At 50.2% G+C, this 25,240-nt stretch overlaps 1 protein-coding gene across 1 annotated transcript, besides 5 other annotated features; it reads right to left on the bottom strand.

Annotated features, from left to right (window-relative positions):
* Positions 8,839-9,338: an enhancer, noted in NCBI's record as "H3K4me1 hESC enhancer chr3:48270677-48271176 (GRCh37/hg19 assembly coordinates)". NCBI's record gives its function as "activates a minimal SCP1, AML or CMV promoter by ChIP-STARR-seq in primed H9 embryonic stem cells {active_cell/tissue: H9 hESC(primed)}" and the evidence as "EXISTENCE:reporter gene assay evidence [ECO:0000049][PMID:30033119]".
* On the bottom strand, positions 13,040-15,030 carry CAMP (cathelicidin antimicrobial peptide). Its single transcript, NM_004345.5, has 4 exons — positions 14,813-15,030; positions 14,064-14,171; positions 13,851-13,922; positions 13,040-13,232 (listed from the first exon to the last, which is right to left on the bottom strand). The coding sequence occupies exons 1-4, from the start codon at positions 15,011-15,013 to the stop codon at positions 13,101-13,103; spliced, it is 513 nt and encodes a 170-aa protein (NP_004336.4). The 5' UTR covers positions 15,014-15,030; the 3' UTR covers positions 13,040-13,100.
* Positions 15,052-15,346: a silencer, noted in NCBI's record as "tiled region #12857; K562 Repressive DNase matched - State 8:EnhW". NCBI's record gives its function as "represses a minimal TATA promoter and a strong SV40 promoter by Sharpr-MPRA in K562 cells {active_cell/tissue: K562}" and the evidence as "EXISTENCE:reporter gene assay evidence [ECO:0000049][PMID:27701403]".
* Positions 15,356-15,405: an enhancer, noted in NCBI's record as "active region_19825". NCBI's record gives its function as "activates an Ori minimal core promoter by ATAC-STARR-seq in GM12878 lymphoblastoid cells {active_cell/tissue: GM12878}" and the evidence as "EXISTENCE:reporter gene assay evidence [ECO:0000049][PMID:35858748]".
* Positions 15,416-15,545: an enhancer, noted in NCBI's record as "active region_19824". NCBI's record gives its function as "activates an Ori minimal core promoter by ATAC-STARR-seq in GM12878 lymphoblastoid cells {active_cell/tissue: GM12878}" and the evidence as "EXISTENCE:reporter gene assay evidence [ECO:0000049][PMID:35858748]".
* Positions 15,566-15,685: an enhancer, noted in NCBI's record as "active region_19823". NCBI's record gives its function as "activates an Ori minimal core promoter by ATAC-STARR-seq in GM12878 lymphoblastoid cells {active_cell/tissue: GM12878}" and the evidence as "EXISTENCE:reporter gene assay evidence [ECO:0000049][PMID:35858748]".

Raw genomic sequence — 25,240 nt, 5'->3', positions numbered from 1 at the left:
ACTCTTTTTTTTTTTTTTTTTTTTGAGACGGAGTCTTGCTCTGTCGCCCAGGCTGGAGTGCAGTGGCACCATCTCAGCTCACTGCAAGCTCCGCTTCCCGGGTTCATGCCATTCTCCTGCCTCAGCCTCCCCATTAGCTGGGACTACAGGCGTCCGCCAACACGCCCGGCTAATTTTTTGTATTTTTAGTAGAGACGGGGTCTCACTGTGTTAGCCAGGATGGTCTCGATCTCATGACCTCGTGATCGGCCTGCCTCGGCCTCCCAAAGTGCTGGGATTACAGGCGTGAGCCACCGCGCCCAGCCGAATTACTCTTTTTCTATTGCAATTTTGCTGTCTTTGATAAACTGGCTCTGTCTAGGCAGCAGGGAAGGTGGACCCATTGGATGGTTATACTTTTGTTTGTGTGAGCTAAATTCATCACTATTTACCAAACTAGATATTTCAATGCAGAAATTTCATATATGTATATATTCATTTTAAAAACAATAATAAACCCATTACTTGTTAACATATTTTTATGAAAATATGATTTCCTTTAAAAAATTTAGTAACAAAAGAGGCATTATTTTACAGTTTTGCAAATTAATACTCAATAGAAGAAGCTAACAGAGTGCAGTGGCTCACGCCTGTAATCCCAGCATTTTGGGAGGCCGAGGCAAGTGGATCACCTGAGGTCCGGGGTTTGAGACCAGCCTGGCCAACATGGTGAAACACCGTCTCTACTAAAAATACAAAAAAATTAGCTGGGCATGGTGGTGTGTGCCTGTAATCCCAGCCACTCGGAAGGCTGAGGCAGGAGAATCGCTTGAATGAGGCGGAGGTTGCAGTGAGCCAAGATTGCACCATTGCACGTCAGCCTGGGCAACAAGAGCTAAAACTCCACCAAAATAAATAAATAAATAAATAAATAAGCTGAATTTTCCATCTGCTTCTGCATCCAATCTGTTGTAATAGCTGTTAAGCTGTTGTAATAGCAGGAGGACCAAGCAAACTCCTGACAGAACTGATGGGTTAAGTAACAGTGAACCTTTCTTCAATTTTAACATTTTATTACACATATAGACAGCAAAAGGAAAAGTGCCAAAGGTGTCAGCTCCTTGCGGCCTTTATACTAAGTGACACCAAAACAAAAGGGACCAGATGACTACATCACGAATAATAGGACAGCCTGTTGCTGAGGAGCCAATTCTAGACTGCAATTGAGCAATTTTATAGCCTACAGCTGTACCCTGGGGAGCCAGCGCAGAAAGCCACATACTTAATCAAAACCCTCATAAGGAGGCTGGGCGCTCTGGCTCGTGCCTGTAATCCCAGCACTTTGGGAGGCGGAGGTGGGCAGATCACCTGAGGTCGGGAGGTCGAGACCAGCTTGACCAACATGGTGAAACCCCGTCTCTACTAAAAATACAAAAATTAGCCAGGCATGGTGGCACGTGACTGTAATCCTAGCTACTCAGGAGGCTGAGGCAGGAGAATCGCTTGAACTAGGGAGGCGGAGGTTGCAGTGAACTCCACTGCACTCCAGCCTAGGCGACAGTGAGACTTATGTCTCAAAAAAACAAACAAACAAACAAACAAACAAACAAAAACTCTCATAAGGGAGACAGGGAGATAAACGGAAGATGGCATTAGAGAGGATCCTCACAAGCCTCCCAGGAGTTTGTGTTCCAGGAGGATTACAAGGTGTTCTGCCAAGACTCAGATTCACTGCAGTTAAAGTCTTGCCTGAGAGGCTGCATGGTTATGTGCAAGGTCACAGGATAGAGCCCTTCCCCTCTTCCCCTACTGAAGTGGCCTTGTTGTCTGGGGTGACATCTGAGGTCCTTGGTCTCATAGTCACAGGGATCAAGGACATGTGACACACACAGAGGGTGAGGTTTAGAGCAGAACTGTAATAGGCAAAAGAAAGAATAACTCTCTGCTACAGAGATGGGTCCTGGAAAAATAGGCTGCTGATGAGCAGTGAAATGCTAGGGTTTTTATAGATGAGTTGGTGGGGAGGTGGTATCTGATCTGCATAGGGCGCAAAAACTGGTTAGGACCAGGTGTACCATCTGCATACAATGTGAATCTCTGGCAGCCTCCACCCCAATCTTTTATTATGCAGGTGGGTCCTCTGCCTAAGCAGAGAGCTACTCCTTGTTGCTTATTTCTTTCTCACTGTGCACATGCTAACAAAAAAGAGAAAGTGGAGCCCCCATGCTAGACATGCCTGGCCCCAGGTAGCCATTTCTATCAGTGCAGCTGCCAGCATCCCCCCGTGCAAGCTTCCAGCTTCCTTATCTATGTTTGCAGCCCAATCTTTCAGGCTGTGCTTTGTTAGAAAAGAAGTTATTTCTTGGGCTGCTTTTTGTTAGAAAGGGAAGTTCTGCCGAGGACTCTTTTGCCCTCACTATCTGCCTAAAATAATGTAGGCCTCAAATGACCTCAAATGATCTGCCCGCCTGGGCCTCCCAAAGTGCTGGGATTACAGGCGTGAGCCACCACGCCCAGCCAGAGTTTTAAACTAGCTTGTGTTTCACAGACAAGTATAGGCCTGACATTCACACATAAAGTAGTAGCAGTCTCAGCAGCAGCATTTTGCTGAAGTGGGATCAGGGTCCAATAATCATTTAAACTTAGGACATTGGGCAATTGCTATAGTCTATGGAAAATCTATAAAAGAGTTCAACAATTATAGATTGAGGCTTAAGAAAATTATATCAGTGCCTAGAAAGTTAATCTTGTTCTGTCATCTCTAGTGGAGGCTGTTCACTCTTGCAGTCAGCAGTTGTCAGAAGATTTCTAAGAGTCCTTAGATTAAGAATCTTTTTTTTTACTTTTTTTTTTGTCTTAGTCCATTTAATGTTGCTATAAATAGATAAGAATCTTTGGCCAGGCACGGTGGCTCACGCCTGTAATCCCAGCACTTTGGGAGGCCAAGACGGGTGGATCACCTGAGGTCAGGAGTTCGAGACCAGCCTGGCCAACATGGTGAAACCTTGTCTCTACAAAAATACAAAAATTACCCGGACGTGGTGGCAGGTGCCTGTAATCCCAGCTACTTAGGAGGCTGTGGCAGAAGAATCGCTTGAACCCAGGAGAAAGAGGTTGCAGTGAGCCAAGATCAAGCCACTGCACTCTAGCCTGGGCGACAAGAGCAAAATTCCATCTCAAAAAAAAAATCTTTATTGGTCATCAAATATTAATCCTGACCCAGCAAGAGCTCAATGACTGCACATACCCTTACCTCAAAAAGCCAGCAAGAAGTCAGGCAATGCAACTTTTTATCACCACTACGGAGAGTTTTTTGTTTTTTTTTTTTTTTTTTTTTTGAGACAGAGTCTCGCTCTGTCACCCAGGCTGGAGTGCAATGGCGCAATCTTGGCTCACTGCAACCTCTGTCTCCTGGATTCAAGTGATTTTCCTGCCTTCACCTCCCAAGTAGCTGGGACTACAAGTGCCCACCACCGCACCCAGCTAATTTTTGTATTTTTAGTAGAGACAGCATTTCGCCACGTTGGTCAGGCTGGTCTCAAACTCCTGATCTTAGGTGTTCCACCCACCTTGGCCTCCCAAAGGGCTGGGATTACAGGCGTGAACCACAGCATCCGGCCTCTGGGGTACTTTTTACTGTAAAAGTAGCCCATTGTTGATTAGACGTGTTCAGGGAATCTAAATATGTAACATAGTCCATCTAAGAATCCTCGAATAGTCTGGCCCATGTCTATTGTGCAGACAGGGATAGCACCCCTGGTTATGCACCCTGGAGTTCCCTTTGTCACCCAACTGTGTAGCTGGCAGTCAGGCACACTTGCCAGACTTCCTTAGCCTCCCGTGCTGGAATCACTATGCCAAATTTGGCGATGCAGTCCTGAGTTGCAGATGGATTACCATGCCTTGTGTGATAGTATGTCCACATGGCCGTGGTCCTTACCTGGCCAGCATGGGTCTGTTTAACTTGTCGATTCCATCGATGTTCATCTTTGAATGGTCGTTTTTCATGGGCAGCCACAAGAGTCATGAACGGGGCTGTGAGTCCAGTGTAGTCTGCTGCCACAGTGTTCATCCCTAAAAAGACCTCAGTCTTTGAGACTTAATCATCAAGATGCCCCACTGCCAGGCACCAGACCACATTGCCAGTCCATCAGCTACTCCCCACCAGTCAGTGAAAATGTTAACAAGATGAATTGTAGGAGATATTTTCCAGAGCAAACACCACAACCCAGAGCTCTGCTCTCTCTCTTACTCTCTCTCCCCTTTTCCATTGCAGTTTAAAACAGATTTCCGGCTGGGTGCGGTGTCTCACGCTTGTAATCCCAGTAATTTCGGAGGCCGAAGTGGGTGGAACACCTGAGGTCGGGATTTTGAGACCAGCCTGACCAACATGGTGAAATCCCGTCTCTACTAAAAATACAAAATTAGCCGAGCGTGGTGGTGGGTGCCTGTAATCCCAGCTACTCAGGAGGCTGAGGCAGGAGAATTGCTTGAACCTGGGAGGCGGAGGTTGCAGTGAGCCGAGATTGTGCCATTGCACTCCAGCCTAGGCAAGAAGAGCAAAACTCCATCCCCCCCAAAAAAAAACAAACCGATTTCCTGGAGGCTGAACAGCTGCAGTGGCCCAATGCACCCCATCAGCCTTTAACAGAGCTGATGTGTCCCTGAATCAGGCCCAGGCATTTTCAGAAACAGTGGTGTACCAAAGCCCCCAGGAAGCTCTGGCACAGAACCCCACATTTGAGACAGCCATATCTAGAAGGTGACTAGCCACTTTTTCCTGCACGTGTTAAACTGTTAAGGGAGGAGACAACCCCTTATACTGTCTTATGCCCAATTTCTGTCTCCAAAGAAAAAAGAAGTGAAAACTAAAAGGCAGAAATGAAATCCACAGGCAGACAGCCTGACACCATGCCCTGGGCCTGGTAGTTAAAAATCAACCCCTGACCTGCTTGTGTTATCTATAGATTCCAGACATTGTATGGAAAAGCATCGTGAAAATCCCTGTCCTGTTCTGTTCGGTTCTGATTACCAGTACATGCAGCCCCCTGTCATGTACCTGCTGCTTGCTCAATCGATCGATCACGACCCTCTCACATGGACCCCCTTAGAGTTGTAAGCCCTTAAAAGGGACAGGAATTGCTCACTTGGGGAGCTCGGTTTTTGGAGACATAAGTCTGCCGACGCTCCCGGCCAAATAAAGCCCTTTCCTTCCTCAACTCTGTGTGTGAGGGGTTTTGTCTGCGGCTCTTCCTGTTACACTCTTAGTTTATTTCTTTTCTGGGAAAAATCCGTTTTGTTGGTGTTTTCATTTTTGACCCTCTCATGGATGTCAGGGCATAATAACACCTGCTGTTGCTTTGTTAGTCTCTCAATGTCCACTAACAGCCAATAACAAGCCAATAATTTCCTCTCAAAAAGGATATACCTGGTAGTGGCATCAGACAAATGCTTTATCCACGTCCACAGGGGGATCATTGCTTAGCGGCTACATCTTTTTGCCACAGGCTCCAGTCTGCATACTTACCAGTCACCCACACTCTTAATGTTAAGGCTCTTTGGGACTAATTGGCTGAGTGGGAGGGCAGTCCACACAGGGTGTCGGGTTTCCTTTAGCACTTCTGCCTCTCCTGGCTCTTTAGTGGGTAGAGTGCCCCCGCACCGTCCCAGCCTTGTATTATATGCTGCTTTACTGCCATCGTGTGGCCTGGTGGGCTCCCAATTGTGCACTTGTCCCACTGCCACTGTCCTAACAGTGGCCTTTCCCCATTGGGAGCATCCCTTGAGGTCAGGACAAATATCACTCATACTGAAAGCATCTATTTCCACGATACATTCGGCAGGATCAGCTACTTGGGTCTGTGAAATGTCCATTGAATAAAACGTAACAGATTAGTTTCAAGGGCCACAGTGGGGCCAGAGTCAACTGAATGGACGGAAACGCTTTAAAACCTGAATAAAGGAAAAACCTGGGAAGAAAAGTACAGCCATTAGCCTGGAGTGGGTGGAGGTCAAAGATCGCTGCAGATGCAGGTGGGGACAGACTCCTGTGTAGTATGACCAGTTTTTTACTAGAAGATAAATGGGCCAGCTTTTGACAGGAGTTACAAGTTTGGCATGCAGCAGTAGTGTTAATACTGGGAACACAGAGTTCTTACTTTGTAAGAGGCAGCAATTGTTCTTTGACTGCCGGAGAGATTAGCCTTGTGAATCCACCCATGTTGTTTCAAGAAATTTTAATTGGCAAGCAGTCCTCTGAGTTTTGTTGGGGTTTACCAGTCACCCATGCTGACTGCTGTTAACACAGAAAGTAGACATTTCTGGCTTGCCAATGAACAGAACATCATTTATAGCATTGGACATCAAAGCAATTTTCTCTAACATTTTATGAGCATTTAAGGTTCAAAGATGTAATACACTGTTAATACCAATTATACATTTTTACACACAATGAATCCACCCAAACCACATAGTTAATTTGACTTTTTTTCTCTGCACTGCAAGTTTTGTCCAAACTCTATCAAGTCCTTTTTTTGCAAAAACACAGTTTTACACAGGCACTCCAGCTGCCAGGAGACCACCTTATCTCCTCAGCTGGGAGTTCAGGGAATGCAGGGCAATGCAGAGGAGGCAGGCCCCCAAGGAGGTTTTTATTCTTTAAAGCAGCTGAGATCTGGAGTGAAAACAATAGAGAGATCAGGGAATATGCATGCACCAGTAGGCATAGTTTTGCACTTACTGTTGGTTTTAAGTGTCTGTGATGGTTATGTGGTTTTATTTTTATTTATTTTATTTACTTTATTTTTTTTTGAGACGGTGTCTTGTTCTGCCACCCAGCCTGGAACATAATGGCATGATCTCGGCTCACTGCAACCTCCACCTCCAGGGTTCAAACGATTCTCCTGCCTCAACCTTTCGAGTAGCTGGTACTACAGGCGCGTGACACCACGCTCGGCTAACTTTTGTATTTTTAGCAGAGACAGGGTTCCACCACGTGGGCCAGGCTGGTCTCGAACTCCTGACCTCAAATGATTCGCCTGCCTCGGCCTCCCAAAGTGCTGGGATTACAGGCATAAGCCATCGTGCCAGGCCATTTTTTTCTAATTAATTAATTTTTTTTTTTTTGAGACAGACTCTTGCTCTGTCTCCCAGGCTGGAGGGCAGTGGCACAATCTCGGCTCACTGCAAACTCTGCCTCCCAGGTTCAAGCAATTCTCCTGCCTCTGCCTCCCGAATAACTGGGATTACAGGTTATTTTTAGTAGTGGGGTTTCGCCATGTTGGCAAGGCTGGTTTAGAACTCCTGACCTCAGGTGATCCACCCACCTCTGCCTCCTAAAGTGCTGGGATTATAGGTGTGAGCCACCATGCCCAGCCGGTTAAGTGGCTTTAGAGTATACAACTAAACCCTTTAGGGCCAAGGCAGAAAGCCACATATCTCACCAGAACCCTCCCAGGAGATATAGGGAGGCAAGTTGGAAGTGGCCTAGGGGAGCAGCTACTCACAAGCTTCTAGGCTCTCATGTCCCAGGAAGGACCACAGGGAATTCTGCCAAGATTCAGATTAACTGTGGTTCAAGCTGGACGTGGTGGCTTACACCTATAATCCCAGCACTTTGAGAGGCTGAGGTGGATGGATCACCTGAGGTCAGGGTTCAAGACCAGCCTGGCTTACATAGTGAAACTCCGTCTCTACTAAAAATACAAAAAATCAGCTGGGCGTGGTGGCAGGCGCCTGTAATCCCAGCTACTTGGGAGGCTGAGGCAGGAGAATCACTTGAACCTGGGAGGCAGAGGTTGCAGTGAGCTGAGACCATGCCACAGCACTCCAACCTGGGCCACAGAGCAAGATTCCATCTCAAAAAGAAAAAAAAAATGTGGTTCAAAACTTGCCTGCATGGCCTATGTGGATATGTGCAAGGTCACCAGGATGTTGTGTTGAAGCTGTTCCCCAAAGATATCAGATACCACATAGTCTCCAAAACTCCACTTAAGAGCTATTTAGAGAGAGAAAAAAATATATCTTACCTCACAGACCCACTGAAAGTCTCACGTTGCCCCCAGGGGTTCCCAGACAATACCTGGAGAACAGCTGCTCTATGCTGTAGACCAAGGGGCAGAATGGCTGGTTCACAGGTGTACATATATTCATATTTATTAGGTACTTCCAAATGGCTCCCCAGGATGGCTCCACCCTCCACAACTTTATCAATGCTCAGGATTGTCAAGGCTTTTTAATGTGTCTTAATTTTTAAAAAAATTTTTTAGAGATGGGGGTCTCGCTATGTTACCCAGGCTGTTCTAAAACTCCCGAGCTCAAGTGATCTTCCTGCCTCAGCCTCCCAAGTAGCTGGGACTACAAACACATATTACCATGCTTGGCATGTGTCTTGATTTTATAATCAGAAAATAGAACAGTATTTAAAAAATATGTCAGGCTGGGCGCGGTGGCTCATGCCTGTAATCCCAGCACTTTGGGAGGCAGAGGCGGGTAGATCACGAGGTCAGGAGATTTCCATCCTGGTTAACACAGTGAAACCTCATCTCTACTAAAAATACAAAAAATCATCTGGGTGTGGTGGCAGGCACCTGTAGTCCCAGCTACTCAGGAGGCTGAGGCAGGAGAAGGGCGTGAACCCAGGAGGCGGAGCTTGCAGTGAGCCGAGATGGCGCCACTGCACTCCAGCCTGGGCGAGAGTGCGAGACTCCATCTCAAAAAAAAAAAAAAATATGTCGGGGTTGGGAAATAATTATTTCAATAAAAGGTGCTGGGTCAATTAGATATCCGTATGAAAAAAGAAAAAAAGAAACTTGATCTCTACCTCACATCATCAACAGAGGTGATCTCACCAACATAATATGAAGAGAGAGAAGCCAGGAAAAAGAATATGTATCATATCATTCCACTTATTTAAAGTTCAAAATCAAGTCTGGGCGTTGTGGCTCACGCTTGTAATCACAGCACTTTGGGAGGCCAAGGCGGGCGGTTCACCCAAAGTCATGAGTTCAAGACCAGCCTGACCAACATGGAGAAACCCCGTCTCCACTAAAAATACAAAATTAGGTCGGGAACGGCGGCTCACACCTGTAATCCCAGCACTTTGAGAGGTCAAGGTGGGTGGATCATGAGGTCAGGAGATCAAGACCATCCTGGCTAATACGATGAAACTCTGTCTCTACTAAAAATGCAAAAAATTAGCCAGGTGTGATGGCACGCGCCTGTAGTCCCAGCTACTTTGGAGACTGAGGCAGGAGAATTGCTTGAACCTGGGAGGCTGAGGTTGCAGTAAGCCCACACTGCACCACTGCACTCCAGCCTGGGCAACAGAGCGAGACTCTGTCTCAAAAAAAAAAAAAAAAATTAGCCAGCGTGGTGGTGCATGCCTGTAATCCTAGCTACTCGGGAGGCTGAGGCGGGAGAATCACTTGAACCCAAGAGGCGGAGGTTGCAGTGAGCCGAGATCGCCCCATTACACTCCAGCATGGGCAACAAGAGTGAAACTCCATCTCAAAAAAAAATAAAAAATAAAAATAAAAAATAAAATAAATAAAGTTCAAAATCAGGTAAAACTAGTCTGCATGCTAAAAATCAAGATACTGGGCCGGGCGTGGTAGCTCACGCCTGTAATCCCAGCACTTTGGGAGGCCGAGGTGGGTAGATCACTTGAACTCAGGAGTTTGAGACCAGCCTGGGCAACATGGTGAAACCTTGTCTCTACTAAAAATACAAAAAATAAGCCGGGCGTGGTAGTGCACACCTGTGGTTCTGGCTACTCGGGAGGCTGAAGTGGGAGGATTGCATGAGCCTGGGAGGTGGAGGTTGCAGTGAGCCAAGATCCTGCCACTGCACTCCAGCCTGGGTAACAGAGTGAGACCCCATCTCAAAAAATAAATAAATAAATAAAATGAAATCAGAAGATTAAAATGACTATAATAGCAATGAATGTATAATATTAAAATCCAAGGCCAGGTGCAGTGGCTCACACCTGTAATCCTAGCACTTTGGGAGGCTGAGGCAGGCGGATCATGAGGTCAGGAGTTCAAGACCAGCCTGCTCAACATGGTGAAACCCCATCTCTACTAAAAATACAAAAATTAGCTGAGTGCGTGGCGGGCACCTGTAATCCCAGCTACTCTGGAGGCTGAGGCAGGAGAACTGCTTGAACCCGGGAGGCAGAGGTTGCAGCGAGCCGAGATCACGCCACTGCACTCCAGCCTGGGTGACAGAGCAAGAGTCCGTCTTGAAAAAAAAAATCCAGCCTGGATTATATCTATCTGGTTCATGACGAGGGCCATCTCATTAACGCCCATGTAGACTATCAAAGAGCAAGGCAGGGCAGGGGTAATAAGAGGGTTGTCACGGTAGCAGGATGGATAATCATGGGAGGAAACTGGAAATAGATGCAGTCGGCACAGGCTCTTGGTATCCTTGTGAGTGACCCCTCCCTCAGTTTGGGCAGTGGTGTGACAGCTGGGGTTGGGGATGCTGCTTTGCAGCATTTGCAGATTTCCATGGTGTAAATACTGCCTCCCACCATGGCCAATTTTAAGCCGCCAAGAATTTAACACCGAGCTCAAAAAAGTCCTGAAAATTTAGGCCGGGCGCAGTCGCTCATGCCTGTAATCCCAGCACTTTGGGAGGTCAAGGCAGGCAGATCACAAGGTCAGGAGATCGAGACCATCCTGGCTAACACAGTGAAACCCCGTCTCTACTAAATATACAAAAAATTAGCCAGGAGTGGTGGCAGGCGCCTGTAGTCCCAGCTACTCGGGAGGCTGAGGCAGGAGAATGGTGTGAACCCGGGAGGCGGAGCTTGCAGTGAGCCGAAATCACGCCACTGCACTCCATCCTGGGTGACAGAGAGAGACTCCGTCTCAAAAAAAAAAATTCCTGAAAATTTAACAATTGGCTCTGACACAGCATATGCCCCTGAGTTTCCTCCCTAGAACTCTCTCTAGCACTCTGTAATGATACAGAGTGAGAAGCATCTACCTCCTCCAACCTGCTTGAAATCAGCCACACCTGCTCGTCATGAAGAAGCAAGCATGGGCAGGGCACAGTGGCTCACGCTTTGGGAATTGAGGCAAGAAGATCGCTTGAGCTCAGGAATTCAAGACCAGCCTGGGTAACATAGTGAGACCCCATCTCAAAAAAGAAAAGAAGAAGCAAGCATAACAGAAAACAAAGCAAGTGTTCTTGTGAGGTTTTGCCTTCTCTTCCTCTCAGAGAGGGATGCCTGTGTCTTAGTTTAGGTTGGCCTGGAAGCAGACCTGAGTTAAGGATTTAAGTGAGAGTAGTGTATTTGGGAAGCAACTACAGAAAGCACCTGCAGGAGTGTAGAGAAGTGAGACAGGGAACGAACAAGTCAGAAGAGGATGTGGTCATGAACAGGTCTTTGTTGAGGGTAGCCCACCTGGGGACCTCTGGGAGATGTGAAACACACCTCTGAGTGTGCCCCCCACGGGTGAGAAGAACAAATATTTTTCCACCAGCTCCCACCTATCATTGGTTGAGGCTGCTCCCTGGCGCATAGACTTCCCAGTACTTCCAGTTGAGCAACCCCATAGCAAAAAGCTGCAGGTGCTTCTAGTGGCTACAGAATGGTGAGTGGGGAGAACACGATCCATGTCTGAAACACCAGCACAACAGAGTCGCGACCTGTGTGTCACACTCTGCATGTCTCTTCTAGCCACAGCACCTCACTCCACTGAGCAGGATTCTCCTTTTTTTGTTTGTTTGCTTGTTTTAGAGACGAGGTCTCACTCCTTTGCCCAGGCTGGAGTGAACTAGCATGATCATAGCTCACTGCAGCCTTGAACTCCTGGGCTCAAGTGACCCTCCCACCTGAGCCTCCCAAGTACCTGGGATTACAGGTGTGCACCACCACACCCAACATATTCTTGGTCTTTGGTTTTTATTTTATTTTATTTTATTTTTTTGAGATGGAGTTTCGCTCTTGTTGCCCAGCTGGAGTGCAGTGGCACGATCTTGGCTCACCACAACCTCCGCCTCCTGTTCAGGCGATTCTCCTGCCTCAGCCTTTCCAAGTAGCTGGGATTACAGGCATGTGCCACCATGCCTGGCTAATTTTTGCCACTTTAGTAGAGACAGGGTTTCTCCATGTTGGTCAGGCTGGTCTCAAACTCCCAACCTCAGGTGATCAACCAGCCTCAGCCTCCTAAAGTGCTGGGATTACAGGCATGAGCCACCACGCCTGGCAGGTTTTTGGTTTTTATGAGCCCAGTCACCTTTGTTTCACCCTGTCACCCAGGCTGGAGTGCAGTGGCGCAATCTCAGCTCACTGCAACCTCTGCCTTCCAGGCTCAAGCAATCCTCCCACCTCAGCCTCCCGAGTAGCTGGGACTACAGGCACGCACCACCATGCCCAGCTCATTTTTGTATTTTTAGTAGAGACAGGGTTTGTTATGTTGCCCAGGCTGGTCTCAAACTCTTGACCTCAAGCAATCCACCCGCCTCGCTTCCCAAAGTCCTGGCATTACAGGTGTGAGCCACCACGTCTGGCCATATTCTTGTTTTTAACAATCCCTAAACACAAGCTCACAAGTTAAATCTGCTACCCACCTGAAGAAACTGTGATGTGTCCCAATGCCAGAGGAAATGCCAGGAGTTATGGGCTTTCCTGAGTTAAGTCTTTTAGGAAGCATTGGAATTTTATGGGAATTGTACCTGCAGGGAGACCGCACCCAGTTGGCCAGCCACCCATGGGACTGGACCATGCTTCTCTGAGTGTTAACAACACGCTTGGCCCCTCCCTTGAATGTCACCTCCCCATGAGCAGGAACAGCTCCACAGCATTCCCCCACCACCACACACAGAGTAGAGCTCCTTAATTCCCCACTGGGGGTTCCACTGAGAATGGGAATGCCATCTTGGATCTCTTGGCCCTACTGCCTTACCCTGTGTCCTCCTGGATGGAACACTGCCCTCGCCACCTCTGTGTCACACTCACACACACTCACACTCACACGTGGACTCCCTGAGCTAAGGGCTCAGTTGTGGTGAGAGAGAGGAGGCAAAACAAGTGAGACTGAAGCCTGAGGAAATTGCTCTCATAGTTTATTTCTCAGAGCCCAGAAGCCTGAGCCAGGGTAGGGCACACACTAGGACTCTGTCCTGGGTACAAGATTCCGCAAAAAATCCTTGATTCTCTGGACAATTCTTTTAAACTCTTTGCCAATCTTCTCTTTAGATTTCCGGAAGAAATCACCCAGCAGGGCAAATCTCTTGTTATCCTGGGGTTGTGTACAGGAAGAAACAGGTTCCTTGTCGGGGATGTACCCAGGGTCAATCCAAGACCCCTCCCCACCTAGACGCCCCTCTTCGTGGGCCCCCGCAGGAGCTTTGGGGCCCCAGTTCAACCTCTGGCTGTGACCTTTGAAGCATGTGATTGAATCCCTACACCCAATAAAAAGATGAGAAAACAGAGTCCCGGAGATAGTGAGGGGCTCTGCAGGGTCACACAGCCCAGCCCAGCAACACTGAGATGGGAACACAGGGCTGAGAGCTGAGTACTCTTAGACAGTGGCTCTCAAACTTTACAGAAGCCGGAATCTCCTGGAAAGCTTATCAAAATACGAATTTCTGGGCCCTACCCAGAGTCTGTCTGAGTAGGTCTGAGTAGGGCCTGAGAATTTGCATATCTAACGAGTCCCCAGGAAGGGCTACACTTGGAGATCTACCGCTCTAAGGGATTCCAGAGCCGGCCCTGGAGATGGAACTCAGGTTTGGGGAAGAGCCCTGGGTAGGAGGGGCTTTCTCTGTCCTGGGTTGGGGGAGTAGTTAATTGACCCATTGGATGGTCCACACTCTATGCCCCCATCAGCCCCTGCATCCCAGAACAGCCCACTCACCTTATCACAACTGATGTCAAAGGAGCCCCTGGCCTGGTTGAGGGTCACTGTCCCCATACACCGCTTCACCAGCTGGAAAGGAGAAGCTCAAGGTCAAACTTGAAACCATTTGCCATGACCTCCCAGCCACATCCCAGTGGGAAATATTCCCCAGGTGCCCCCTGTTCAGCTCCTTGGGAGGCACCCACCAACACCCCCAGCCCCCAGCCTCACCCCGTCCTTCTTGAAGTCACAATCCTCTGGTGACTGCTGTGTCGTCCTGGGGCACACTGTCTCCTTCACTGTGAAGCTCACAGGCTTTGGCGTGTCTGGGTCCCCATCCTAGTCAGAGGAGGAAATGGGGAGGCCCATTCTTGTATTTTCTGATTTGTGTCCATGACCTCCCCACCAAGAGGGCAGGCTTTCCACAGTACCTGATGTGCGACGGGCACTGGGTGCTGGGCTTGGCACTGGGGCATTGAGGGGAGGAGGACTGAGCCATTCCTACCCTCCTAGGTGAACAGTGAGTAGGAGCAGACCTCAGATGAGCTCTAACAAGGAGCCCCTCCCACTCTGGGGTGGGGGCAAGGGAAGTCAGGGGGCTTCCTGGGGGACAAGACATGCCCACTGGAACCTAAAGTCTGGATAGAGTTCTTCCCTATGTGGGGTAACGTGGTACAGAAGAGACTTAAAGCAGAGGAGGTCACTGCCCAGAGCCAATGACCCCATTCTAGTGCCTGGAGCTCGCAGAAGTCCCAAAACCTGCGTGGGGTCGGGGTGAGGGTATCTCTGCCACAGCAGGAATTATAAGGCAGGAAGCTCTCGAGCTGGGAGGAGACACGAGCTCTAGAAGGTTCCCTGGAAAACACGGGACCACATTTAAAGGGGGAGATGCCCTCCTGGCAGGCAGTGCAGCAGGAGCAGAAGGAACAACACGTGGCCAAGCCCAGCCAGAGCAGAGCAGAATGTCCCCCAAAGCTCACCATCGTGGGCCTGGGGTCCAGGTCCAGGAGGCGGTAGAGGTTAGCATCCGAGGACCGCTGGTTGATGCCATCTATAGCACGAAGCACAGCTTCCTTGTAGCTGAGGACCTGGGCAATGATGGCCAGAGGCATCACCAGGCCCAGCAGCAGGAGCACCAGTGACCACCGCCCCAGGGAGTGGCCATCCCTTTGGGTCTTCATGGTCCCCATGTCTGCCTCCCTCTAGCCCACAGGAGCCTCCTTTATGCCCAGCCTGAGCCTGATGCAAAAGCCCAACCAGGAGCCTTCCTGATCCACCCATCCCTGGCTGCCTGCCAGGGTGTGGGCTGGGGTTTGCTTTAGCCCCTGGCTATTGCTTCACAGGACTTGCTGGGCAGTGAGTGAGGCCTTCCTTGTGTGCAAGATGAGGAAGTGGTTTCTTCATCTCTGACAACCTCCCAGACCTGACCGGAGATTGTCATAGCCAGGGGTGCTCAAGAGCGTTAAATCCCTCCAGAGAGGAAGAGAGCCAGGTGCCTATTCTACATCCTTCTACTCCTCAGGAGTCAGTATGATGGACTGCTAAATCTCCAGCTCTAGGCATTGCCTGGCACCCTGTAGGCATCGATTAAGAATTGATGAATGAGGCAGGGCACGGTGGCTCACGCCTATAATCCCAGCACTTTGGGAGGCCAAGGTGGGCGGATCACCTGAGATAAGGAGTTCGAGACAAGCTTGGCCAACATGGTGAAACCCCATCTCTACTAAAAATATGAAAATTAGCCACGCATGATGGCTCACACCTGTAGTCCCAGCTACAAGCTGAGGCATGAGAATCACTTGAACCCATTGAACCCGGGAAGCAGAAGTTGCAGTTAGCTGAGATCATGCCACTGCACTCCAGCCTGGGTAACAGAGTGAGACTCAGTATGAAAAAAAAAAAAAAGAACTGGTAAATGAAGACAGTAGCCACCCCCAACCTAGAGACTCACTCTTGCAAGGGACAAGTTGCCCTTTCAGTTCAAGGCCATACCACATGCTCTCTGGACCCAGCCGTCAGCCAGACGAAGGCTCTGCTCCATCTATCCCCTTCTGCATCCTTCTTCACTGTTTTTTTCAGTCTCAAAATGTTCCCAAGCCCCTCCAGACATGGCCTTTCACCATGGCTTCTCCCAAGCCAAGTCTTAGGAAAGGTTGTCTACGCTTCTTGACCCCATCTTTTCACTCTTCTTCATGCTGAAGGCCACTGAAGGCTGGCCAACCCACCCTTGGTCCATGGCCACCCTCAAGCCTGGTCTTTGTCTGCACAGGCACTGGTGAGCCTTCCTTCTTGCTGCCCCGGTCTCCCCTGATGCCACTCTCCTGCTGTCCCTCCTGCCTCCCTGGTGGCTCCTTCTTGGTCTCCCCTAAGGGCTGTCTTCTTAATATTGAGAGCGTGTGGGGTCACCTCCTGGGCTGCTTCTCTTCCCTGGCCTCGGGTTTCCCTGGGGACGCCCTCTCCCAGGACACCAGTTATAATAGGCAGACACCACCCAGTCTGTATCTCTGAGTTCGAGACTCCCATGAACGTCCCGGTTGTCCCCACTGGGCCTCCTTGACTGCTCTTCTGCTGAGTGCCCACTGCATGAGCCCTGAAGCACCTTTGGCTCCTTCCTCCCGAAAGCACTCCCCTCTGGCCTCTCCTTCCACCCCTGCCTGGCTCCTGCCGCCATCTTCTCTCCCATGCAATGCTGCCCCAGCCTCCAGACTCCACCTTCTCTAGGTTTCAGGCTCTCCCCAGACCACAGTCCACCCTCCACACCGTTGTCCAGGGGTTCCTTTAAACCACCAATTTGGCCATTTCAACCCTCTACCTTCAGGAGCCCACACACCCCCTAGGCTGGCATCAGGGCCTGTGGCCTTTTGGTTCCCACTGCCCTCACCCCAGCCCTGCACACTGCAAGTGCCAGACTGTCACGTATGCCCCCATCACATAGGCTCATCTGAGCCTCCTGCTCTTTCTCCCAGCTCTGCCCCGATCCTTCTGTTTGGCCTGCCCTTTCACCTCATGAAGCTTTCCCTGACCTCCAACCAGGCACAGCAATCTCCTCTTTGCCCCTACATCTTCCAGGAAGTCTCTCCTGATTCGACCTCAAATTACTCCCTGTTTGGTGCTCTAGCTGAGACACCAAGCTGGGATGGGTGGCTGGTGTTGGGAGAGGGAGAGATCACAGCCAGGAGAGATAAAGGGCCAAAGTGATAGAGGGGTCCAGCGTCCATGAGGCAAATTCCGGTCCCAGCTCCTCTGTGGACTGGCCATGTGGCCCTGAGGCCTGGGGTACCTCTTGACCTCAGTTGGCCTGTGGGACACTTGGGGGCTTGGACAGCAGGGCTCCTGGAAGGTGGAAGCCTGGACGAAGGCCACCGGTTGCACACCTGGCCTTGAGAGAAGGAAGAAGTGGGCTTCTGTGCAACCTGGTTTCACAGTTCAAGTGTTGCCCCAGTGGCCTGTTGGTCAAGCAGGGCTTGCACATCAGGTCTTTTATGGCTGTTGGGAAAAGGGCCATCCAGGGATATCAGACCTCTCAGGGCTCTCCTGCTTCCTCCACCCTTCTGACTGGCTTCAGGATCCCCAAGAAGCCAAACCGGGGAGAAGCAGATGGCAATGTTAGTCCTTAGGCTAGGGCGTGAGAGCTGCATGCTCCTGTGTTCCTCTAGGTCAGATCTGGCATATTCAGAGCCCCTTTCCAACTGCCTCAAGAGGACGTTCCACTTCGGCCAGTGCTGGACACGCCCTCACATGAAATCAGCCAGAGCCCAAGCAGCTTGCATAGGCCCTCTGATACAACTGCAGAAGTCTGGACTCAGGGGCACTTGCTTTCCCTCTCAGGGCCATCGCACAAGGTCCAGGCTTCCCAGGTTCCAGGAGTGAGTCCTGCCCTCGGCACATGCAGGTCGGTGTCCACTACCTGAGGTAGGGCGGCTGACTTCAGACCTTTAGAACCCATGGCTGCCCCTTCCTCCTAGAGAGGGAGAAAGGAGGCTCTCACCAGCTCGCCTTTTTCATAATGGCTCACCCCATTAATAGAGTGATCAGAAGATTCTAGGCAAGGCGGAATGAGAAAAGAAAAGTGAGGCTTAGCCGGGCGCGGTGGCTCACGCCCGTAATCCCAGCACTTTGGAAGGCCGAGGTGGCCTGATCATGAGGTCAGGAGATTGAGACCATCCTGGCTAACACAGTGAAACCCCGTCTCTAGCTGGGTGTGGTGGCATGCGCCTGTAGTCCCAGCTACTTGGGAGGCTGAGGCAGGAGAATGGTGTGAACCCAGGAGGCGGAGCTTGCAGTGAGCTGAGATGGCGCCACTGCACTCCAGCCTGGGCAAGAGTGTAAGACTCCGTCTCAAAAAAAAAAAAAAAGTTAGGCTTTTCCACATCAAGACTTGAGGGCTAGATAAATGTCCCTTCACAAAGGCCTGGGCAGCCCCTGTCCCTCTGTCTCTCTATCTCTCTCTCTTTCCTCTCTCTCTCTGAATCTCCCACCCTGACTTCTCTAAGTGGCCCCTTCCTCTCCTGCAGACCCAGGAGGCTCCAACTCCTACACAATGTGATCAGGGAACCTGGTGCACTGGGACTGCTGAAGGCTCTGAGAGACTTTCCACAGATGAGCAGATGCTGGAGCTACCCTCTCCCACTCCACAATCCCTCCCCCATTGGCGAACAAAGCCCAGCTTAGCCCCCACTCTGCGTTCCCTCTCTGGCTCCGTGTCTGCAGCCCTGGTTGTCCTGGTGGAAGCACCCACCTCCTCAGGCCTGCTTGCCCCTGAGACAGCCTTCATCAGAATGGCCAACTTGTCTGAAAAGTAGAGAACCAAGCAGGCAGTTTGTTCATCCCCTTGGGGAGCACTGGGGAGGGAGTCCTGGGATGGGAATCCCAGGAACCATATTCGTCACCAGCCTCTGTCTCTGTGGGTGAGTCACTGTCCCTGTCCCTCCCTGTGCCCAGAATCTATAGTCAGCACAGAAAGCCCAGGGCTTTGCAGGCAAAGAGCCCAGGTTCCCTCATGAGGCTGACTGGGTTCCTGGCTCAGCCCTGCTGCGACCAGCTGTGTATCTGCATACCGATGTGTCTGCTCTCCTGCCTCCTCATCTGTAGAACAGGGATGATCATCACAATGTCTAGTTTGTAGAATTGTTGTGAGGGTCAAATACAACATGGTCTGTGGCCAGTACATGTGAATTGTTTTTGTTGTTATTAATGTGACCTGTTAGGTTAATGCTTCAGAAGTAAACATAGTGTGCTCCCAGAGATAGTAACTTTGTTGGCCAAGCATGGTGCTTCAGGACAGGAGTTCGAGACCAGCCTGGGCAACAGAGCGAGGCCCTGTCTCTACAAAAAAATTTTAAAATTAGCTGGGCATGGTGGTGTGCACCTGTGGTCCCAGCTACTTGGGAGGCTAAGGTGGGAGGATTGCTTGAGCCCAGAAGATGGAGGCTACCGTGAGCTGTGATCATGCCACTGTATCCAGTCAGGGCAACAGAGCAAGACCCTGACTCAAAAATAGAAAATTGGGGTGACTCAGGCCAAGAGCTAACTTCTGGTAAATTGCCTCCCTCCCTGAACCTTTCTCGTGCAAAAATTGGGACAGTAGCCCCAACCTTGTAGACAGCAATGCATTGGAGCAATGTATTGAATATATACTCAAAGGCAGACGTTTCCTTCCCTAAACCTGGGGCATGGGGCAGGGTATGCTTATACCCTGTGGCAGACAGGGAATGCCAATCACAGGTTCTGCCCAGACTCAGGACAAGTTCCTCCTTCTGCCTTTCTTTCACTTGCAGAATTGTATTGCCAAGAGACCTGGGGTGGAGGGTCTCAAGCACCGTCGATTACTAGCTGTGTGACTTCGAGCAAGTTGCCTTGTTTTCTTGATAATGTTCTCATATTTGTAGGATGGGAATGAGATGCCCTGCAGTGTTTGTTCAAATGCAACAGTGAGTAAGCAAGTGCATGTCCACTGTCAAGTCCTGTACTCCCGGGATGTTTTGGCAAGTGAGGTCAGGGTCAGGTCTCCTTACTTGGCAATGGCCTTAGCCCAACTCTTCCCCAACAAGATACATATGCACGCATGAAACTGTGCATATGTATCTTGTTGGGGAACTGTGCTCCCCTTCTTGCTAATAACATAACCTACTACCCCAGGCCCCTGTCATATTTTGGCTCAGACTCAGCCTCTCCAGGTTGTCCCCTGGATTTCAGCCCCCAGTTGGCATCCTCTGTGATGCGTCCCCCACCAACACCAGGCTAGGAGACAGCTCACCAACCCCACCTTTAGTCTCAGGCTGTGTTTATCCATCAGGCTAGTCCCAGGGGTAAGACCACAGTTGTCCTCAGACAAGAGTCATGAAGCCCTGGGATGCCCCTTAGACAAGGCTTCCCCAAGTTCTCCTTCTGTCCAGGCTCCTGATTATGGGGCTGCATCTCCTTCCCAGGCCAAGGGCTTCCCAAGTGTGACAGTCTTGTCTGTCCCTCAGACAGGGACTCCCAAGGGCAAGCCCCTGCATTCCCTTCAGCCCACAGACTCCCTAAGGTCAGGATTCCTTTCCTCACTGGGCCCCTCTCAGAATCGGCATTGGGCTCTGCCCTCAGAGGGCCCAGATGGGTAAGAGCCGCTCCCAGCAGGTCCAGACCCAAGTTCAGAAATCATTTGTCAAATGAAACACTACACAGCACGGGATAGTGATAGGCAGTTTCCAGTAAATGTGCCTTTGTTTCCTAGACTGATTCATAAGAAGGGCCTGGGACATGGTGTCCGGGGGTGGAGGCTCTGCCCAGCCATAAAGGAAAGACCTGGATATTGGATATACCACTCAGAGGAACCCGCTGTCGTCCTTTGCAGGGGAGAGGGACGGTCAAACCACAGCATGGTTTCTCCTGGGAAAGGCCAAGGCACTTGTAGGTAATCACATGCTGTCTTGTCCAGGAATACCAACCCAGAGCCAGGGGCCCATTGCACAATCCAGTTTTCTCAACCCTACATTGCCACCAATGAGGAAGACAAGGCCTTGAGCTTCTTGCCAGGTGACCGTGTCCTTAGCGCTTCCCCAGCTCCCAGCCTGTCTCCTTGTCAGCAATCCATAAACCCTGTGCAGCTCCAGCACTCCTGTGCCTCCAGTGGCCAGAGACTGTGTGCCAGGCCTCCTGCTGTTCACCCCCTGCTTAGTGACCCTCATATTCACTCCGATGGACTCTTTGCTTCCTCCTTCTTTGGCTCCTCCCTGACCTGAGCCCTGACCAGGTTCCCTCTCACTGCTCCCTGTTCATCAGAACTTGCTCACTTCTACTTGAATGCATTAGCCAGTATGGTAGCCATAAGCACAAGTGGCAATTCAATTTCAATTCAAATTAATTGAACTTAATTAAAATTAAAAAGGCGGCTGGGCACAGTGGCTCACGTCTGTAATCCCAGCAATTTGGGAGGCCGAGGCAGGTGGATCATCTGAGGTCAGGAGTTCAAGACCAGCCTGACCAACATGGTGAAACCCCATCTCTACTAAAAATACAAAAATTAGCTGGGTGTGGTGGTGCATGCCTATAATCCCAGCTACTTGGGAGGCTGAGGCAGGAGAATCTCTTGAACCCAGGAGGCGGAGGTTGCAGTGAGCCGAGATCGTGCCACTGCACTTCAGCCTGGGTGACAGAGAGAGACTCCGTCTCAAAAAATAAGTAAATAAATAACAACAACAAAAAACAATTATTCTGTCACACTACCCCCATTTCAATTGCTCAACAGTCAGTTACAGTGGATGTCTCAGATATAGAACATTTCCTTGATCACAGAAAGTTCTATTGGACAATGCTGAGTTAGACAAAGAAGTGTGGCTGGAGGTGGGGAACTGGAAGGAGAGAAGATCCTGTGACAACCCTGGGTGGGAAGGGCCAGCTTTGTCCCTGTGACATGCTGTCTTTTTCCAAATGTTTCAGAAGCACCTGCTTGACAATGCCTCCAAAGAAAAAGCTCGCTGTATGGGAGACAACAGTGAGAAGTGGGCCATCCTCCAGCAGGGAGCTGACTGGAGAAGGCCTTGGATGCCATGGCTGCAGGGAAGCAGCTCTGCAAGGGTGCATAGTAGGCCCTCCTCGGGTGGCGGTTTTATTATAGGAGCATCACTCAGGCTGCACTGAGAAAGGGGTGCAGTTTCTGGGAGCCCCAGAATCATGGCTTGTGGGGATCCATCCTCCACTATCTCTCAGTTTAGAACCTCTCTTCCCCAAGGTGACTGGGGAACAGATCCTTCCCTTGCCTTGTGGGCGAGGTTAGGAGCCTGTGGCCAAGGATGGTGAGATGCTAAGAGCCGTGGAGGCCAGGTACCAGATGCCAGGTGCTATTTCTGAGCTGAGATGTGCAGCCCAAATTACCTCCTCTCCAACCTGAGGTCACAGAGGGTTTCAGGGGCCACCTCCTGAATACTCCAGTCCTCTCTCTTTCTGGATGCAGATTCTGAGGACTTGAATGGGGAGAGACCTGAGCCAAGGTCTCCAAATGGGTTCTGGGCACATGTCCAGCCATTTCTAATGCTGTTCATAGAGTGTGTAACCTCAGCAGTTGACCTTTCCAGGATCTGAGTGCCTTCGGGGCTGCATATGCGAAAAAGACTTAGGGAGTTAGTCAAGGATTAGGCCAACACAGAGCTGCAGGAACAAGTGACCGCCCAAGAGGCTGCTGCCTCTTTTGTGTGCCTGTACTCTTTTGTGTGCCAATATGAGAACATTTGTTTCCTTTCCCCGAAGAAGGGTTGCAGGAGAGGCAGGCTGGCTTCATCAGAGTGCGGGGAGAGGGTGAGAGCCCCCAGGAGAAACTGGATAAGGCTGATGAGCCAGTTGATGACGAAAATGAGGGCCACAGATAAATCACTTGAACAAGGACCCCTATCCAGAAAACGGCAGAACCAGGACTTGGACTCAATGCCCCCACCCACCAACCTTGCTGTCCTTCTCATGGGGACATGTGGAAGAATTCAAGCCCTGCCTCCTGCCCTCTGCAGCAAACTGGAAATGCAGATGTGGGCTGCCATGAGGGTGGAAATATGGGACAGGGTGAGTGTCAGGACCGTCTGCTAAGGCTCAGTTCCCTCTTTCCCACTTACTACTTCATGTGACACAAGTTGCGTGGAGGAAAGCCAAGAAGTTAAGTAATCATTACAACCCCTTCAGCCAGGCTGGAATTTTCCAGGCACCACACTGGAGCCCCCTGAGTAAATGGCCATGACCTGAACTCGTTCTTTTCCCCAACAGCAAGTGAAGAACTGCCGGGGGTACTTCAGTGCTGCTGAGGACCCCAAGAAGTTGCCCATCTGTGAATCCCAAAACTTTGCTGGGGTGAGCAAATCCCTGGAGAAGGAGTGGAGGGCAGAGGAGTGGGTCCAGAAGCCAGAACTTCAGGCTGGGAGGTTCAGAGCAAAGGGCAAGGGCTGGAGGGCTGGACTGCCACATGCTGGACAGGTCTTTTGGGGACCTCTATACTCATCTCAGCCCTGAGGAGTCTCCTGAGAGACTGACTACATGGCTGCGAGCCAAGCCATTGCTCTACTTAGTGCCGTTTGCAAGCCTCTTTACCACCCTGAGCCTTGATCTCCACAGAGCAGGAGGGTTCCCATCCTTGTTGGTCCACTAGAATCACTTGGGAAAAATGTGTAAGCTCAGGCCACAACCTCACAGTTCAGTTTGTCGTGGCATGGGGTTGGGATTGAGAACTCTCAGGCTAGAAGCTGCAGATGGCCTCCTGTGAATTTAGTGCCTAGGTGATTATACCAACAGCAAGTAGAATTGCAATTGCAAATTTCACACATATACTCACACACAAGTACACACATCCACTTTTACAACTAAAAAAACTAGCACCCAGGACAGGTGCAGTGGCTCACGCCTGTGACCCCAGCAGTTTGGGAGGCCGAGGCAGGTGGATCACCTAAGGTCAGGAGTTCGAGACCAGCCTGGCCAACATGGTGAAACCTCATCTCTACTAAAAATACAAAAATTAGCAGAGATCTTGTTAGAAATGGAAATTCTCAGACCTCACCCTAGACCTATTGAGTCAGAAACTCTGGGGTTAAGGCCCAGCAATCTGTGTTTCAATGAGCCCTGCAGGTGATTCTGATGCACAATGAAGTTTGAGAACCAATGCCTTAGAACAATAGCAGCACCTGAGCTTGAAGAAGGACCAACTTGGAGATGAAACCAAGGCTCTGAGAGGTTGAGTGATATGCCCAGGATCACACAGCAAGCTAAGCACAGGGCTGGACAGTCCCCCAGGCCTCCTGGCCAACCTGGGGCATCTCCTTGCTGCCAGACTCCTCTGGACCCTCCACATTTGTCCCTCCTCTGAGAAGGGAGAGGAAACTCTAGGTCTTGACCTTGGGCAGGAATATGCTACCCCTCCCAGCCCCCACGACCCAGCCCTGGCTAATGCCAACCATGTCTGACCCCTCCTTCCCCAGATCACGCGAGCCCTCAGAGGCTTAAGAAAAAATCTCCTGGCTGGGCGCAGTGGCTTACACCTGCAATCCCAGCACTTTGGGAGGCCGAGGCGGGCAGATCACAAGGTCAGGAGATCAAGACCATCCTGGCTAACGTGGTGAAACCCCGTTTCTACTAAAAATACAAAAAATTAGCTGGGCATGGTGGTGGGCACCTGTAGTCCCAGCTACTCTGGAGGCTGAGGCAGGAGAATGGTGTGAACCCGGGAGGCAGAGCTTGCAGTGAGCCGAGATCGCGCCGCTGCACTCCAGCCTGGGCAACAGAGCAAGACTCCATCTCAAAAAAAAAAAAGAAAAGAAAAATCTCCAAGTGGCCGGGCTTGGTGGCTCATGCCTGTAATCCCAGCACTTTGGGAGGCAGAGGCAGGCAGATCACCTGAGGTCGGGAGTTCAAGACCAGCCTGACCAACATGGAGAAACTCTGTCTCTACTAAAAATACAAAATTAGCCGGGCATGGAGGCTCATGCTTGTATCAACCTACTCGAGAGGTTGAGGCAGGAGAATCGCTTGAACCCGGGAGGTGGAGGTTGCAGTGAGCCGAGATCACGCCATTGCACTCCAGCCTGGGCAACAAGAGCAAAATTCCATCTCAAAAAAAACAAAAAAGAAAAAAAAAGAAAAATATTCAAGAAGCATTTCAAATGGCTGTTTCCAAAGCAGTCAAACCAAAAGCCTGTGCCTAAGACTTTCTTTTTTTTTTTTTTTTTTTTTTTGTAAAGGACATATCATATTTATTCATACACATGCTGGAATTATTGGTGCAGACATTTAAATACATTTTCTTTGAGAAAGTCCTTTTTTTTTTTTTTTTTTTGATGGAGTTTCCCTCTTGTTGCCCAGGCTGGAGTGCAATGGTGCAATCTCAGCTCACAACAACCTCTGCCTCCTGGGTTCAAGCAATTCTCCTGCCACAGCCTCCCAAGTAGCTGGGATTA

This window comes from Homo sapiens, chromosome 3, assembly GCF_000001405.40.
Source record: "Homo sapiens chromosome 3, GRCh38.p14 Primary Assembly".
In the NCBI taxonomy this organism is placed as follows: Eukaryota; Metazoa; Chordata; class Mammalia; order Primates; family Hominidae; genus Homo; species Homo sapiens.
This window is presented reverse-complemented; position numbering and strand designations above follow the sequence as displayed.